The sequence below is a fragment of the Homo sapiens genome, chromosome 1 (genome assembly GCF_000001405.40).
Source record: "Homo sapiens chromosome 1, GRCh38.p14 Primary Assembly".
NCBI lineage: Eukaryota > Metazoa > Chordata > Mammalia > Primates > Hominidae > Homo > Homo sapiens.
Window position 1 is genome coordinate 85,709,897 of NC_000001.11, and position 18,178 is coordinate 85,728,074.

General features: G+C 37.6%; 1 long non-coding RNA gene across 1 annotated transcript; it reads left to right on the plus strand.

Annotated features, from left to right (window-relative positions):
• The first annotated feature begins 7,818 nt into the window (after positions 1-7,818).
• On the plus strand, positions 7,819-17,625 carry LOC105378823 (uncharacterized). Its single transcript, XR_947550.3, has 4 exons — positions 7,819-7,917; positions 8,907-8,979; positions 16,222-16,273; positions 17,560-17,625. It is a non-coding gene; the product is annotated as an uncharacterized LOC105378823 (long non-coding RNA).

The window sequence follows — 18,178 nt, forward strand, 5'->3', positions numbered from 1 at the left end:
TTCTTTAATGAAATGTTTATTCAGATCTTTTGCCCATTTTTAATTGACGTCTTTTATTATCAAATTGTAGTAGTTCTTCATATATTATGGATATAGGTTTGTGGTAGACAAGCACCAGTATGTTCCCCAGTGATTCTCCACCCCCACAGTGTTCAGACCAATGTGTAGACTGCTCCTGCATCATCCCAGGATTGGTCTGTGTCACTGATAGCATACAGCAGAAGTAATACGTTACCTCTAAGATTAGGTTTGGAGAAAGGCTGTGGTTTCTGCCTTAGGCTCTTGCTTTTTTGGTCTCCTTCCTAGATCATTCACTCTGGGGGAAGCAAGCTGCCAGGTTGTGAGTACCAAGAGGCCCATGTGGTAGTGGGCCGAAGTTACTGGCTCTTACAGGCTGAATTGTGTCCCCTCAAATTCGTGTGTTAAATCCGTAACACCCAGTACCTTAGACTGTGAGTATATTTGGAGATAGGACCTTTAAAGGTGATTTCGTTAAAATGAGACCATTAAGGTCGGCCCTAATCCAATCTGACTGATATCTTTATAAGAAGAGGAAATTTGGACACAAAAAGAGACACGAGGGATGCCTGCAGAGAGAAAAGACTATACGATGATACAGTGAGGTGGCCACCTGCATGCCAGCGAGAGAGGCCTCAGAAAAAAACAAGACTGGTGACAACTTATTTTGGAGTTCTAGCGTCTAGAACTGTGAGAAAATAAATTTAAGTCACTCAGTCTATGCTAGTTCATTATAGTGGCCTTGGCAAACGAATGCACTGGCCAACAATCAGCAAGGAATTTCAGCCTGTCAATAGCATATGAATGTGTTTGGAGGAAGATTCTCTAGTCTTAGTCCAGCTTTACATGACTGCGGCTCTGGCCAACAACTGAACCCAGATTCCGGACACTCAGAAATTGTGGGAGGGGATAAATGTTTCTTGTTTTAAACTGCCAAATTTCTGGATAATTGATACAAAGCAATGCATAATTAATACCAATTCCTTGTATGGTTCGCAAATATTTTCTCCCAGTTTGTGGCTTTTCCTTTTCTTAGTTGTATCTTTAAAAGAGCAAAAATTTTACACTTCAATTAAATCCAGTTTATCAATTTTTATTTTTATTTTTTGTGATGGAGTCTCGCTCTTGTCACCCAGGCTGGAGTGCAATGGCGGGATCTCTGCTCACTGCAACCTCCGCCTTCTGGGTTCAAGTGATTCTCCTGCCTCAGCCTCCCGAGTAGCTGGGACTACAGGCAGGTGCCACCACACCTGACTAATTATTTTTGTATTTTTATTAGAGATGGAGTTTCACCATGTTGGCCAGGCTGGTCTCGAACTCCTGACCTCAGGTAATCCACCCACCTCCCAAAGTGCTGGGATTACAGGAGTGAGCCACTGCACCCAGCCTCTCAATTTTTAAATGAATGGTGCTTTTTGTGTCACACTAATAACTTTTTGCCTAGCCCAAGGTTGCAAAGAGATATTTCTCCTATATTTTCTAGAAGTTTTATAGTTTTAGCTTTTACATTTAGGTCTGTGATCCATTTTGAGTTGGCTTTTGTATCTAGAGTCATCCCTCTGTTTCTGTGGGGATTGGTTCCAGGACCACCACAGATCTGAGAACGCTCAAGTCCTACAATCTGCCATCTGCATCCATGGTTCCACATCTGTAGGTTCCACCAGCTGTGGAAATTTGATCCATGGTTGGTGGAACCCACATGTGGCAGAACTAAGGATATCATCCATAAGGTGGACAAGGTAATGGTTTAAGTTTCTTTTTTTTAATATGGATATCTTATTGTCCAAGCACCAGTTGTTGAAGCCTATTCTTTTTCCTTGAATTGCCTTGATATTTAAAAAAATCAATTGACCACAAAGATAAAGATTTATTTCTGGACCTTATATTCTGTTTTACTGATCTATATGTCTATCCTTACACAAATACCATACTCTATTATAACTTTATAGTAAGTCCAACTTTCTTTTCTTTTGAAAATTGTGTTGGCTATTCTTGGTTGTTTGCATCTCTGTGTATTTAGTGCCAGCTTGTCAATTTCTACAAAAGAACTTGTGGGATTTTCATAGGGATTGTGTGGAATATATAGATAAGTGAGGGGAGGATTGTCATCTTAACAACATTGTGTCTTATCCATGAAAACGGAATGCCATCCATTTATTTATATTGTCTTTAACTTCACTTAACAATGCTTTGTAGTTTTCAGTGTACAAGTTTTTACATATCTTTTGCTAAATTTATTCCTAAGCATTTTATTCTTGATGTGGTTTTTGTTTTTTTTTAAATTGACACAGGGTCTCCCTCTGTCACCCAGGCTGGAGTACAGTGGCAAAATCATGGCTCACTGCAGCCTCGACCTCCTGAGTTGAAGCTATTCTCCCACCTCAACCTCCCAAGTAGCTGGGACCACAGGCGCATGCCACCATGCCCAGCTAAATTTTTTTTGGTATTTTTTGTAGAGATGGGGTTTTGCCATGTTGCCCAGGATGGTCTCAAACTCCTGGGCTCAAGGGATCCGCCCACCTCAGCTTCTCAAAGTGCTGAAATTACAGGCGTGAGCCACCACACCTGGCCTTGATGTGATTTTGAATGAAATTACTCATTTAATTTCATTTTGGATTTTTCATTGCTAGGTTGCAGAAATACAATTGATTTTTGTATTTTGATTTCATATCCTGCAACCTTAATAAACTCAAATGTTTTATAATATCTCTATATAATTGTATTCAATTAACTTACATTTTGTTTAGGAGTTTTCGTCTATGAAGGATGTTTATTTATCTGTAGTTCTTTTTTCTTGTAATGTTAGGTTTTGTTATCAGAGTTTTCTGCATACCTTTTAACTTTTATGTTTCCCATCTCTTTATTGCTTCCAGATACTTTCTGGGAGAGTTCCCCAAGTAATTTCTACCTTACTATTTTGGTATTTGATGGTATGCAATCTGTTAGTCAACCTATCCACTAAGCTCATTTCAGTCACTATGTTTTTCATAACCATTGTCTGTAGCTTATTTTGCTTCATATTTCTAATATCCCTTTTTATCTCTCTGAAGGTAGTCCTTTAACTCGTTTTATTTATTTATTTTTTTGAGATGGAGTCTCGCTCTGGTTGTCCAGTCTGGAGGGCAATGGTGCTATCTTGGCTCACTGCAACCTCCGCCTCCCAGGTTCAAGTGATTCTCCTGCCTCAGCCTCCCCAGTAGCTGGGATTACAGGTGCCCACCACCATACCCAGATAATTTTTGTATTTTTAGTAGAGACAGGGTTTTGCCATATTAGCCAGGCTGGTGTTGAACTCCTGACCTCAGGTGATCCACCCACCTTGGCCTCCCAAAGTGCTGGGATTACAGGCGTGAGCCACCATGCCCGACTTTTGACTCTTTTAAAAATCTTCAGTTTTTTGTCCATTAATTCTGTCCCTCCAGTATAAATTATCCAGCTTAAAAAAATCTTTTAGAATTACAGTCCAGATTTTATAATATTTTCTCTGGTGAGCTCCTATTCCTTTGAGAGTATTAGCAAGCATAGTTGTAATTCATATTTGAAAGGTAGGATCAAAAGCATAGGATTTGGATTGCAACTCTTCTGGTTATTCTTTTCAGTGTGGAGGGTAAGCAGAAGAGTGGATGAGCATCATGGTAGAAAGCCTCTGGTGTTACAATCTGGGCTGCACTAGCCCCAGTCTGCCCTCCTATGAAGAGCATACGCCTCTCAGGTTAACTTCCAGTACTCCCACATTGCCATCCCATTTCCAAGAGCTGCTGTCTTCTGGGTAATCATCTAGACTTTTGGGTGGAGGGAAGAAGACAACTGTTCTAAACCAACTGGTATACACAGTTATCAGCTTTCCTGGTGTTCTTCTGCCTCCTTGGACACTTGCTGGGCTAACTTTGTGTTTTTATAAGCATCTTGAGTTGAGGTGGGCCACGATCCACCCAAGCTAATGTAGGGTAGAAAAGGGAACAATCAGAGATTCTATCCTTTCATCCACCCTCTACCTCCATTAGTGTCCCTCTTTGTCCCTCCAGGCTTTCCTTTCTCCACCACAATGGACCCAACTCCCTTTCACCTCCTAAGGGTTTTCAGAGTTTCCTAGTTAGGCTCATTATTTATCCCCTCCCCCCCATATATGTGGCATCTTCAGGAATGGATTTGGAGACTCCAGGAGACAATAGCTTTGTTAGTTTGCTATCTTTTCAGAAACAAGAAGTTACCAGATTGAACTTTTTATTTAGCAATACTGTATGGTAAAGAATTTGTGAAATTATTTGAGGGATATCCCAAATATCCTTTCTTCTGGGCTTCCCATGACACTGCTATCGGGGGAACCAGCCCCCAATATTTCAATGTAGGTTCTTTTCTATTTTCCCTAAGTGTTGGCAGGTCTGAGAAATAAAGAGAAAGAGTGCAAAAGAGAGAAATTTTATAGCTGGGTCTCCAGGGGTGACATCACCTGTCAGCAGGTTCTGTGATGCCCCCAAGCTGCAAAACCAGCAACTTTTTATTGGCGATTTTCAAAGGGGAGGGAGTGTACGAATAGGGTGTGGGTCACAGAGATCACATGCTTCAAAAGGCAATAAAATATCACAAGGCAATTGGGGGCAGAGCAAGATCACAAGGCCAGAGCGAAATTAGAATTGCTGATGAGGTTTCATTTCCCACTGTGCATGCATCGTCACTGATAAACATCTTAACAGGAAACAGGGTTTGAGAGTAGACAACCCTTCTGACTAGAATTCATCAGGCCAGAATTTCCTAATCCTAGCAAGCCTAAGGGCGCTGCAGGAGACCAGGGCGTATTTTATCCCTTATCTTCAACTGCATAAGACGGACACTCCCAGAGCAGCCATTTTAGAGGCCTCCCCCTGGGAATGCATTCTTTTCCCAGGGCTGTTCCTTGCTGAGAAAAATAATTCAGCAATATTTCTCCTATTCGCTTTTGCAAGAAGAGAAATATGACTCTGTTCTGCCCGGCCCTGCAGGCAGTCAGACCTTACGGTTAGCTCCCTTGTTCCCTGAAAATCGCTGTTATCCTGTTCTTTTAGGACGCACAGATTTCATATTGTTCAAACACACATGTTTTACAAACAATTTGTACAGGTAACACAATCATCACAGGGTCCTGAGGCGACGTACATTCTCAGCTTATGGAGATGATGGGATTAAGAGATTAAAGTAAAGACAGGCATAGGAAATTATAAAAGTATTAATTTGGGGAACTAATAAATGTCCATGAAATCTTCACAATTTATGTTATTCTGCCATGGCTTCAGCTGGTCCCTCCGTTTGGGGTCCCTGATTTCCAGCAACACACTACTCAAATTTTTCCAGGATGCCTAAATGTTTCATTATATTCACAACTTTGAGGCAATGCAGAAACTGCATATGCTTGTCCATGGACCGTTGCATCAGCATCACCTGGTGTACTTAATCAGAAACAGATCTCTGGATCTCTCCCTAGAGGTATTTAACAAAATGGAGAGAGTTGCTGGGAAATTTATATTTTTAACAAGTGTATCTGAGTGGTACTTTTGATGTATAAACAGCTTTGGGAACCATTGGGCGAAGTTATTAAAACTGCACTTTGCAATATGGTAGCCATTAGCCACAGTGACTACTGAGCACTTGAAATGTGGTTATCTAAATTGAGATGTGCTGTAAGCGTAAAATACACACAGGATTTCAAAGACTTAGTATATTTAAAAAAAGAATGTAAACCATCTCAATAATACCTTTATACTGATTACATGTTGAAGTTATATTATTTTGGATATATTGTTATGTATATTGTTAAGACTAATTTCACTTGTTTCTTTTTATTTTTTTATTTTTTTGAGACAGAGTCTTGCTCTGTCACTCAAGCTGGAGTGCAGTGGCGCCATCTTGGCTCACTGCAAACTCCACCTCCCAGGTTCAAGCGATTCTTGTGCCTCAGCCTCCCAAGTGGCCAGGATTACAGGCATGAACCACCACACCCAGCTCAGTTTTGTATTTTTGGTAGAGATGGGGTTTTGCCATATTGGCCAGGCTGGTCTTGAACTCCTGGCCTCAAGTGATGTGCCCGCCTCAGCCTCCCAAAGTGCTGGGTAGCCTGAGCCACTGTGCCTGAACTCTTATGTTTTTTAATGTGGTTATTAAAAAATTTGAAGTTACATATGTAGCTCATATTATATTTCAGTTAGCGTTATAACAGAAGTGTATTAAAATTCAAATTTCAATTAGTTGAGATTAACATAGTCAAGAACTAGCATATTAGTTAACTTATTAATATGTTAACTTAGTCAATATTTTTCTTTTCAATTAATTCTCCAAAGTACACTGTGAACATTGTTACAAATCAAAGTCTGATAATGTCAATCATGTCCTTAAAAACGTTCAATGCCTAATTTTTGCTTTTAAGATAAAGAACTAAATCCTTATTATGGTCTTGTGAAGATCCCTCATATTCTGGCCAATATTTTCTCTCCAGTTTTATCTCTTAATTACTCATTCTTCAGATGGCAAGTCAAGCACTACTTTCCTTAGGGAAGCATTTTTGACCTCTCCTCCTCCCCTATGCTCAACCTAGATCATGGTTTTTTGTGTGTGTGTGTGTGTGTGTGTGTTTAGAGAACTTATTTCAAGTTATAATTATGTATTTACTTATATTATCACTTTATTAACATCAGTTTCTCCCCCAGACAGTAAGCTTACAAGGACCCTGCATTTTTTTCTCAACAACTCAGAGTGCAGTGTCTGATACACGACAATAAAATGTAAAAATATGAAGGACTTCAGCACCTATTATGCATCACACAATGTGCTGTGCTGTGCTGTGTGATTATAAGTATTAAAATCTACCATTTGCCTACAAGGAGCTCACAGTTCAGTGAAGGGAGATAAACATGAAAATAGCAAAAATGAAACACTGAAGCAAGTAATTAGAATATTGAATGTGATCTTAAGTGTAAGTAGCATGTATTCCTGTGTGGGGAAAGTTAGGAAGATTTTTCTGAGGAGCTTGAAGAATGAATGGGAGTTGGCCAGGAAGACAGGGCAGGAGAGCTTTCCAGATGGGAATGAGAAAGTAGAATATGTTCAGGGCACATCAGAGAGTCTTGTGGTTTGAATGTGTACCCCAAAAGTCCATGTGTTGGAAACTTAATCCCTAACCCAACAGTGTTGAGAGGAGGGGCCTAATAAGAGGTGATTGGTTTAAGAGGGTAGAACATTCATGAATGGATTAATCTTAGCATGAAAGTGGGTTAGTTATCATGTGACTGAGTTTTTGTAAAACAAATCCAGCGTGGGATAACCCTCACTAGACACTTGCACCATGCTCTGGACTTTCCAGCCTCCAGAACTGTGAGAAATAAATTTCTTCTCTTTAAAAAGTACTGAGTCTGTGGTATTTTATTATAGCAACAGAGAACAGACTAGGACAGATATTTAAATATGGTGGGAGAGTGCTGACTTTGATAAGAAAGGAAAGAGAAAATGTTGACAAGTGATCAAAAATCAGGTCACCAAGGCTTTGTAGGCCTTCCAGAGAAGCTTGCACTTCTTCATCCTGCAGGTGATAAAGAGCCAGATTCACTTCCTGAGCTTGGGTTCTAAGGTTGGGGCACAGAAGTAAGGTGAGGGAAGAAACCACAGATTGGTTCTGGGTATGATTATTCTTAACAGGGGATAGTGACTTATACCATGATTTGGATGGACCTATTATGACCACACAAATAACTGTTTCCAAAGAATTGCCTGGATTGATTACTGGCAAAGCATTATTTGGATCAAACAAATACCTCATACATTTAGGTGGTTCAATCATAACTGATGTTCCTCTAGAAGGATCCAATAATTGGGTAATTACTACTACAGAAATTCAGGACCTGATACAGAAGGCATAGTATTTGCTGCAGAGACGTATGTGAAATTTATTTCTAAAAAGATTTTAGAATTTTTTTAAATTTCAATTTATTATTATTATTTCTCTTTAACACAAGGCCTAAAAGGAGCAAGTTTTACCAGCCAGAATAATATTTGGCTATAAAAACCAAGCTAAAGAAATTCTGATTGTTTTAATTTCTCGCTTCCAACTATCAAACCAAAAACTTGCTAATGTCTACTAATTTAAAGATTTCTACCAAGTTGTTTTTTCATTGTATGAAGTCTTGAAAAAAAAAACAGTATTTTTTGGAGTGTATTGAATTATGTGGAAAACATTTGGGAACAAAAATTATTTTAACTGTGAATGTTTTATATAGTATCTTGGAATTTGCATTATTAGTTAAATGAGAACCTCTTTTATACACTGAAAATGCTCAAGTGAAAAAATTAAATGTAATATCAATAAAGTTTAAATAAAGTTTTAATTTCCTAGTAGTTGAGGAAGATCCTTATGCCTTCATGAGGAATGCCCTTTTCATGAGGAATGCCCTTTTCATGAAACTGGGTTTCAACTATTTGCTTCAAGAAGTGAAAAATTGGCCGGGCGCTTGGCTTACACCTGTAATCCCAGCACTTTGGGGAGGAGAGGTGGGCAGATCACCTGAGCTCAGGAGTTTGAGACCAGCCTGGCCAATGTGGTGAAAACCTTTCTCTGCTAAAAATACAAAAATTAGCCGGGTGCTGTGGCAGGTGTCTGTAATCCTAGCTACTCAGGAGACTGAGGCAGGAGAATCGCTCGAACCCGGGAGGTGGAGGTTGCAGTGAGCTGAGATCGCACCACTGCACTCCAGCCTGGGTGACAGAGCCAGACTCTATCTCAAAAAAAAAAAAAAAAAAAAAAAAAAAAAAGAAGCGAAAAATTTTCTTGCATTTCAACGGTAAATTTGTTCTGAACTAGATACCTAATAAAATGCAATTATTTTTAATGGATTGTTACTGAGATTATTTTTTGTACTTGTGTGCAGTTCTAAAATTCTACTGCTACGCACAGCCAAGATGACAGCTCAGATTCCCCATCAGTTGCTCTTCTCCAAAGAGGTATCATTTTTCTAACTTGGCTTTAAACAATGCTAGGACTCTGAATCCAAAGCACACAGATTGCATAATTGTGTACCCAGGCTTAGGTGACAACAACTTCATCATAGCTCACATAGCCAATTAATATATAGATAATGAGGAAAAAGTTACACCCAACAGGACATACATTGAAGGCTTAGCTCACACTTATTTTTGAAACTATAAAACCTGCCAGTCTTGCGTAGGAGGGCCAAACTCTTATATTTTGGTCAGGACATGAGATCTGCCAAAGTGCCTCCTGCCAAACACCATGTTTCTACTGCTCAGGTTGTTTCTGTGCCCCTAGAAGTGATCCTCCTCTTTATTACAAAATCATCAAGCACGCAAAAAACTCCTTTTTGCTTCCCATGAAAAGAACTACATTTGTGTTTCATTCAAGGTGAAAAGCAGGGGAAGATCTAGGTTTTGCGAAGCCTGAAACTCGTTCAATTTATGCTCTTCTATGTTAAAAAGAACCAAAAATTATTGTACTTTTATAAACTTTACAAACATGGAGGCCCATGTGAACACATTTTGAAGGCCATTTCAGGGATTTAAAGCTTACATTTGTTAGCTTCATGGCAACTCTGCCTCTATATAAAGAATATTTGATAGAATTTTAAAATTAACTTGTTCTACCTTTTAGGCTTTAGTTTAATGAGCCAAACTATTTTGTCAATGGGAAAATATGTTTACAGTGTAATTTGTGAATTTAAAGATTTTACTTTTGACTGATGGTTACCTCAATCTATGTGTATAAGTGTTGTGATTTGAATATTTGTGCTGTTAACTGTATGAGAATCAATATAATACAAGACAATATACATGAAAAATGTTGCACTGAGATGATATAGAGCATTTTAGACCTGAGCTCAACAAGCCCCAAGTAGGATAAATATAAGCACAGAGGTATTCATAGATAAATTGCTGAAAGCCAAAGAAAGATAAAAGGATATCTTGAAAGAAGCAAGAGAAAAATGACGTATTACAGATGGAGAACAAATAATGACTAAATTATAATAACAAACATTGGAGGCCAGAAGACATTGGACTGATATATCCAAAATGCTGAAAAAAAATGCAGCCAAGAATTCTACACCTAGAGAAAATATCTTTTAAAAATAAAGGTGAGGTCTGGGTGTGGTGGCTCACGCCTATAATCCCAGCACTTAGGGATGCCGAGGCGGGAGGATTGCTTTCACCTCAGGAGCTTGAGACCAGCCTGGGCAACATTGTGAAATCCCATCTCTACAAAAAATAGCCAGGCATTGGTAGCTTGTGCCTGTAGTCGCAGCTACTTGGGAGGCTGAGGCTGGAGAATCACTTGAACTCTGGAAATGGAGGCTGCATTAAGCTGAGATGTGACACTGCAGTCCAGCCTGGGTGACAGAGTGAGACCTTATAAAAAAAAAAAAGAAAAGTGAAATAAAGACAAAAACAGAGAAAATTAATCATCAACTGACCTACATTATAAGAAATGATAAGGGAAATTCTTCAGATGAAGGGGAATGACACCAGATGGTAAGTTGGGCCTACAGAAAAAAAAAATTTATATATTTTAAATTTCCTTCTCATAATTCAAAAATATATACATGTTTAAAGCAAAAACTATAACCTCATATTGTTGGATTCATAATATATATGGATGTACTATACATGACAACAATAGCACAAGGATGAAGGGATTAAGTAGAAGCATACTATTCCAAGTATACAAGGTTCAAGTATGCTTTTTTGAAGTAATTCAGTATGAGCTTTAAATAGATTGTACTAAATTAGAACTATCATAATCCCTACAGCGACCACTAAAAAATGGAATAAATAGCAGGAATTATTCTCCCTTTTTATAGATAAGGAGTTATGATGGAACTGCTCATACCAGAGCAAACATGCTGCTAAGAACAATTATAAAATCTGAATAAATATAAAAAATAACTGTTTGACAGCATCAATGATCATCCAAAGCAGCCAGGGTTAGAGGATTAGTAATGAAGAAGGAAGTATACTGAGGTAAACTGGACCTTCTCCAGCACTTTTTCCCTGGGAGAAATTGCTGGACATAAAAACAGTATCCAAGAGCTTTTGGAAGTTTTCAAGACTAGTGAGATGGGGAAGTGGAGAAAAGGTGAAAATGAAACTTGGTGTTCAGGGGCAACAAGGGAGGACAAGATCTTTGTAACCACCCGAGGCATTCAGTTGAGACACCTAAAGGGCTACCCCATAAAACTAGAAATAGGGCAGCTCTCTGAAGGCCTAAAGTCCAGTCTTGAACTATCTCAATCACTGATTGCATCCAACTGCCTGCCAAAAGGAAATTAAATCCTCTTGGGAAGGAGTTATTGTCATTCAGAGTTTCTGCAATTTTTTGTGCATATCTTACACTTAACAAAAAAATTATTAAATACACCAGAAGACAAAATCAAGTGACTGGAAACTAAAAGGAAAAAATAGACAATATAAGTAGATCTTTAGGACATGCAGATGTTGGAATAATCAAATATGGACTTTATGTCAATTGTGATCATTATGCTCAATAAGTGATAAATAGGATGGAAGATTTCCATAAAAGATGACATGAAAACATTACAATTGAAAAAATTACAATTTCTGGCCATGCGTGCTGGCTCATGCCTCTAATCCCAGCACTTTGGGAGGCTGAGGAGGATGGATCAGCTGAGGTCAGGGGTTCGAGACCTGCCTGATCAACATGGCGAAGCCCCATCTCTACTAAAAAATACAAAAATTAGCCAGGTGTGGTGGCACAGGCCTGTAATCCCAGCTACTCGGGAAGCTGAGGCAGGAGAATCACTTGAATCTGGGAGGCAGAGGTTGCAGTGGGCTGAGATTGTGCCACTGCACTCCAGCCTGGGTGACAGAGCGAGACTGTCTCCAAAAATAAAAAAAAAGAAAAATTACCATTTCTAATATTAAGAACTCAAAGGTGAGTTTAACAGCACATTAGATATAGCAAAAATAGGGTCAGTGAACTGAAAGTTAAGTCAGTAAAAAAAAAAAAACATAAACTGAAGCATAAAGAGAAAAAAGATGAAAAGTATACAGATGAGCATAAGAGATATATGAGACAAAGTAAATATATTTCAAATATGAGTGTGTAAAGTCCTAGAAGCAAAGAATAATTGAATCAATAGCAGTAATATTTGATGAAACCCTCAGCAAAAATTGTCCAAAGCTTACAAGAGAGATCAAGTCACATGTTAAACAAGCACTTTGAATCCCAAGCAAATAATTACACAGAAATCTACCCTAAGTACCTCACAGTAAAACTATTCAAAACCAAGGACCAAAACCAAAAACAAAAAACAAAAACAACAACAACAAAAAACACTTAAAAGCAAAGAAAAAGACACAATCTCTTCAAATGAGAAAAAAAACTTTGGCCAGGCATGGTGGCTCATGCCTGTAATCCCAGCAATTTGGGAGGCTGAGGTGGGCAGATCACCTAAGGTCAGGAGTTCGAGACCAGCCTGGCCAATATGGTAAAATCCTGTCTCTACTAAAATTACAAAAATTAGCCACATGTGGTGGTGGCCACCTGTAATCCCAGCTACTTGGGAGGCTGAGGCAGGAGAATCGCTTGAACCCAGGAGGCAGAGGTTGCGGTGAGCCGAGATTGCACCACTGCACTCCAGTCTGGATGACAGAGTGAGATTGTCTCAAAAAGAAAATAAATTAAATAAATAAATAAATAAATAAAACTTTAAGCTGATATTTAAACAGAAATTATGGAAGTTAGAGAACAATAGAATAATATCTTTAAAAGAAAACAAATGACAATCTGCAATTCTATACCCAGTAAAAATATCCCATAGACAAAGGAAATAATTTTCAGACAAAAAAATGAAGGTAATTTTTTACCAGTAGATTCACATGAAAAGAAATACTTAAGGAGGTTCTCTAGCAGAAGGCAAATTATCCCAGATGAAAGCATGGTAATGAAGGAAAGAAAAGCATAGATTTTTTGAGTAAGACCTCAAAAGCAAAGGTAACAAAGCAAAAGTACACAGATAGGATTACATCAAGCCTAAAAGCTTCTGTGCAGCAAAGAAAACAATAAACAAAAAGTGAAGAGGCAACTCACAGAATGGGAGAAAATATTTGAAAATTATCCATGCAAGAAGGGACTAATAACCAGAATATTTAGGGGATTCAAACAACTCAATAGCAAAAACAAACAAACAAACAAACAAAATAACACAATTTAAAAATACACAGATGGGATTACATCAAGCCTAAAAGTTTCTGTGCAGCAAAGGAAACAACAAAAAGTAAAGAGAGACATCCCACAGAATGAGAGAAAGTATTTGAAAATGATCAATCCAACAAGGGACTAATAACCAGAATATTTAAGGCACTCAAACAACTTAATAGCAAAGAAACCAATGATCCTATTAAAAAATCAGCACAAGACCTGAATAGATATTTCTCTAAAGATACACAAATGGCCAACAGGTATATTAAAAAATTCTCAACATCACTAATCATCGGGGAAATGCAATCAAAAGTACAATGAGACATCATCTTATCCCATTTAGAATGGTTATTATAAAAAAAAAATAAATGTTGGCAAGGAGATGAGGAGAAAGGGGAATGCTCATACATTGTTGGTGGGAATGTAAAGTAGGACAGCCATTATGGAAAACAGTATAGAGGTTCCTCAAACAAGTAAAAATAGTAGTTTCCAACACAAAGGAAAAATAAATGTTTGAGGTGATGGATGTTCTTATTAACTTATTTTGATCATTACACATTGTATACATGTATCAAAATGTTATATGTATTCCCCAATAATACATGTATCCCCAAAATATGTACAACGGCTATATATCAATAAAAATGTTTTAAAAAACAACAAAAAAGAAAGCATAGAAAAGGATAAATAGGCAGAAAAAACTAAATGGTCAGTTTAAAATATTTAGAGTTTTAAATGTATGTATAATAAAAATACAGAGAGTAATGCCACAAAATGTCAGGAAGTGATAAATGGAATTAAAGTGTAGTAATATTATTGTATTATCTGAAAAGTGGAAAAGCACTAATTATTTATTTATTTATTTTTGAGACAGAGTCTCACTCTGTCACCTGGGCTGCAGTGCAGTGGCATGATCTGGGCTTGCATTGTCTGAAAAGTGGAAAAATACTATTTTTTTTTTTTATTTTGAGATGGAATATCACTCCATCACCCGTTCTGGAGTGCAGTGGTGTGCTCTTGGCTCACTGTAACCTCCACCTCCTGGGTTCAAGCAATTCTCCTTCCTCAGCCTCCAAAGTAGCTGGGATTATAGGCATGTACCACCACACCTGGCTATTTTTTTTTTTTTTTGTATTTTTAGTAGAGACAGGGTTTCACCACATTGGCCAGGCTAGTCTTGAACTCCTGACCTCAAAGGATCCATCTGCCTCAACCTCCCAAAGTGCTGGGATTACAGGCATGAGCCACCACGAAAAGTACTAATTTACATAGCCCCTACAAAGTCAAGGATATGAAGGTGACCACTGTAGTCTCTAGGGTAGCCACTAAAAGAAAATAAAAATATGGCTAGTAGCTAAAAGAGGAAATATAGAATAAAAATATTTTACCACTCAAAAGGAGGGCAAGAAAGGAGGAAAGAGGAAACAAATTAGAGATGAGATAAATACACAATAGTAAGAGAACAGGTTTAAATGTAAATGTAACGGTAATTACATTAAATGTAAACAGACCAAATACTCTAATTAAGTCTAAAGTTGCCAACGTGGATTAAAAATAAAAATAAAACTACATGCTGCTTACAAGAAACACAATAAAGGAACGGATGCAAAAAGGTTAAAAATAAAAGGATGGACAAATATATGCCATGCAGACACTAACAAAAGAAAGCTCATATAATTATACTAACAATAGAAAAAGTAAACATTAAGTTAATCAGCAGAAAAGGGATATTTCATAATGACAGAGTAATCATTCTAACAGGATGACATACCAATGGTGGGCTAAAGCCAACTTGGACTAGCTTGTTAGACCCAACGTGTTATCTCTTCCTATCTTCATGTTCTGTAATCTATTTGTAGCTTGAAATCAGCCATGGTACAAGTATTTACACTATAGAAATGGGCAAATGCTAACAAATTAGGGATTGTCTCTTTCTTTCCTCTTAGTGAGCTGGGTGTTAAACATTGGCCAGAACACTACAGGATATACCAACTGTGAATTTGAATGCAACTAATTACATGTGTAAGCAAGAAAAAGTGAGAAACAAAAGAAGAAACAGGCAAACCCACAGTCATGGTTGGAGATTTTAACACCCTTCTCTCATGTAATTGATAGGACAAGCAGACCAAAAAAAAAAAAAACTTGCCAATATAGACAAAAAAAAAAAAACACACACACAAAACTCTATATACCTACCTACTCTCTCTCTCTCTCTATCCCAATACAGATAATAACAGAGAATTAGTGACTTATCCAAGTACTGCAAACCAATAAATGGGAGAGTTGAAACTTGATTTATGTTTTCTGCCTCTAAGTCCAATATTCCTTTTGCTATGGTTTCATATTACAGAAAATGTCCATGATATTTACTTTGTAATAATCACTATAATTTTTTTTTTTTTTTTTTGAGATGGAGTTTCACTGTTTTCGTCCAGGCTGGAGTGCAATGGTGCAATCTCGCTCACTGCAACCTCCGCCTCCTGGGTTCAAGTGATTCTTCTGCCTCAGCCTCCTGAGTAGCTGGGATTACAGGCATGTGCCACCATGCCCGGATAATTTTTTGTATTTTTAATAGAGACGGGGTTTCTCCATGTTGGTCAGGCTGGTCTCGAAACCCCGATCTCAGGTGATCCACCCACCTCGGCCTCCCAAAGTGCTGGGATTACAGGCATGAGCCACCGTACCCAGCCAAACCACTGTAACTTTTACATTAGTACATAAAAATGGGGAGAAAAGCAAAACACTTTTCTTAATTGTATATATTATCTGTTGCACTTGATTTTTAGAAAGTCTTTATATTTAATAATTAATAATTATAATACATAAAAAATCTATATTTATACAACAAAATATGGGGACAGCATGGCTTTAAAGCAGATGAATAATTTTATTGAGAGATTTAGCATAAACTTCTTTGGTGATAATGATCATAGAACTATTAAATCTTTAATGATGATGATGATGATGGCAATAAAGAGCAGCGACTAATGTTTATGGTGATTACTTTGTGCCAGACACTGTTTTAAGCATTTCTCCATTTTCGAATCCACTCAACAACCAAATGAGGTAAGTATTTTTATTATCACTATTTTACAGCGAAGAAACTGAGACAATGAACCTACAATGATACACCCCAAATCACAGTGAATCCTCAGAGCACTCCTAACTACTATACTGCCTATGATTAAGTTGATTGAAATTTGCTTTAAATTCGATAATTCAGGAACACACTTAAAACATAAAGCAAGCATTTCTGTCCTCTATATGTTTCTTAAATGATCTCTAGAAAAATCATGTAAGTCCAAACTAAGTTATTATTACTTTTTGGAACAGAATGTATAGCGTGTAGACTGAAACTAGATTATAGGATATGATTTCTTTAGTTTACACTCAAACTTTGTGCTCCTTTTAAAAACATTTTTATCTTCTTCAAATGAAAACACAGACATCTTTGCCAAGTCCCTATTTTTAAAAGTTGGGGTAAAATATGCATAACATAAAATTGACTGTTTTAATCATTTTAACGTGTATTATTCAGTAGCAATAAGTACATTAACATTGTTATGCAACCATCTTCATTATCTATCTCCAAAACGTTGTCATTCCAAACAGAAACTCTGCACTCATTAAAAAAAGGATAGTTCTCACCTCATTCCCACCTCCTCTGGCCTCTGGTAACCTCTATTCTACTTTTTGTCTGTATGAATTTGTCTATTCTTGGTACCTCATATAAGTGGAATCACACACTATTTGTCCTTTTGTGTCTGGCTTATTTCACTTAGCATAATATTTTCAAGGTTCATCCATGTTGTAACATATAACAGAATTTCATTCCTTTCGAAGCCCGAATAACATTCTATTGTATGTATATACCACATTTTGTTTATCTATTCATCTGTTTATCAACATTTCGGTTGTTTATCCATTTTGGCTATTGTAATAATGCTTCCCATAAACATTGATATACATATATTTATTTGAATCCCTGTTTTCAATTTTTTTGGGTATATACCTAGATGTAGGAGAAGTGCTGGATGATATGGTAATTCTACATTCAGCTTTATATATATATATATAAAGCTATATATGCATATACATAGTTATATACGTGTACATAGATACACACACACACAACTTTTTAAAAAGTTATTTACTTTTTTAAGTAACCACCAAACTATTCAGTGCAACGGTTGTACCATTTTGTATCCCCACCAGCTATGCATAAGGCTTTCAATTTTCCACATCTTTGAGAACACTTGTTATTTTCCTTTTATTTTTAAAATAGCCATCCTAATGGGTGTAAAGTTCTGGGGTGTTTTCCAAAACTAACAACCAGTTCTCCAATTCTTCAGACACCAATTTGGATGTCCAACAATTCAAGTCAATTCTGACACTGCCTGAAATTGCATCACATTCCACAGATAAATGGGTTCAGTACCCACTTCAGATGCCAATTGCAAGTCCCAGGCCATCGGTAATTCTGACCAACCAACTACAAATGGTAGGTTCCCATGACGCCCCTCCTCATGTTCAACAGTTTGCTAGAATGGCTTACAGAACTCAGGGAAACACTTTACTTATGTTTACTAGTTTATTATAACTTAGGAACAGCCCGCTGGAAGAGATGCACAGGGCAGAGCATGGGGAGTGTAGTGCAGAACTTCCATGCCCTACTGGGCGTTATCACCTTCCCAGCAAGTTAATGTGTTCACCAAACAGAAAACTCTCTAAATCTCACTGTTCAAGAGTTTTTACAGAGCTCCATCTCCAGGGCCTGCCCTCCCCTCTTCCCAGGGGTCAGTAGGTGGGACTGAAAGTCTCAACCCTCTAATTACTTGGTCTTTCTGGGGACCAGCTCCATCCTGAGGCTCTTTAGGGGCCCCACTCTAAAAAACCTTATGAACATAAACTCAGGTGTGATTGAAAAGGGTTCATTATAAATAACAAAAGACACTCCTTTCACTTAGAAAA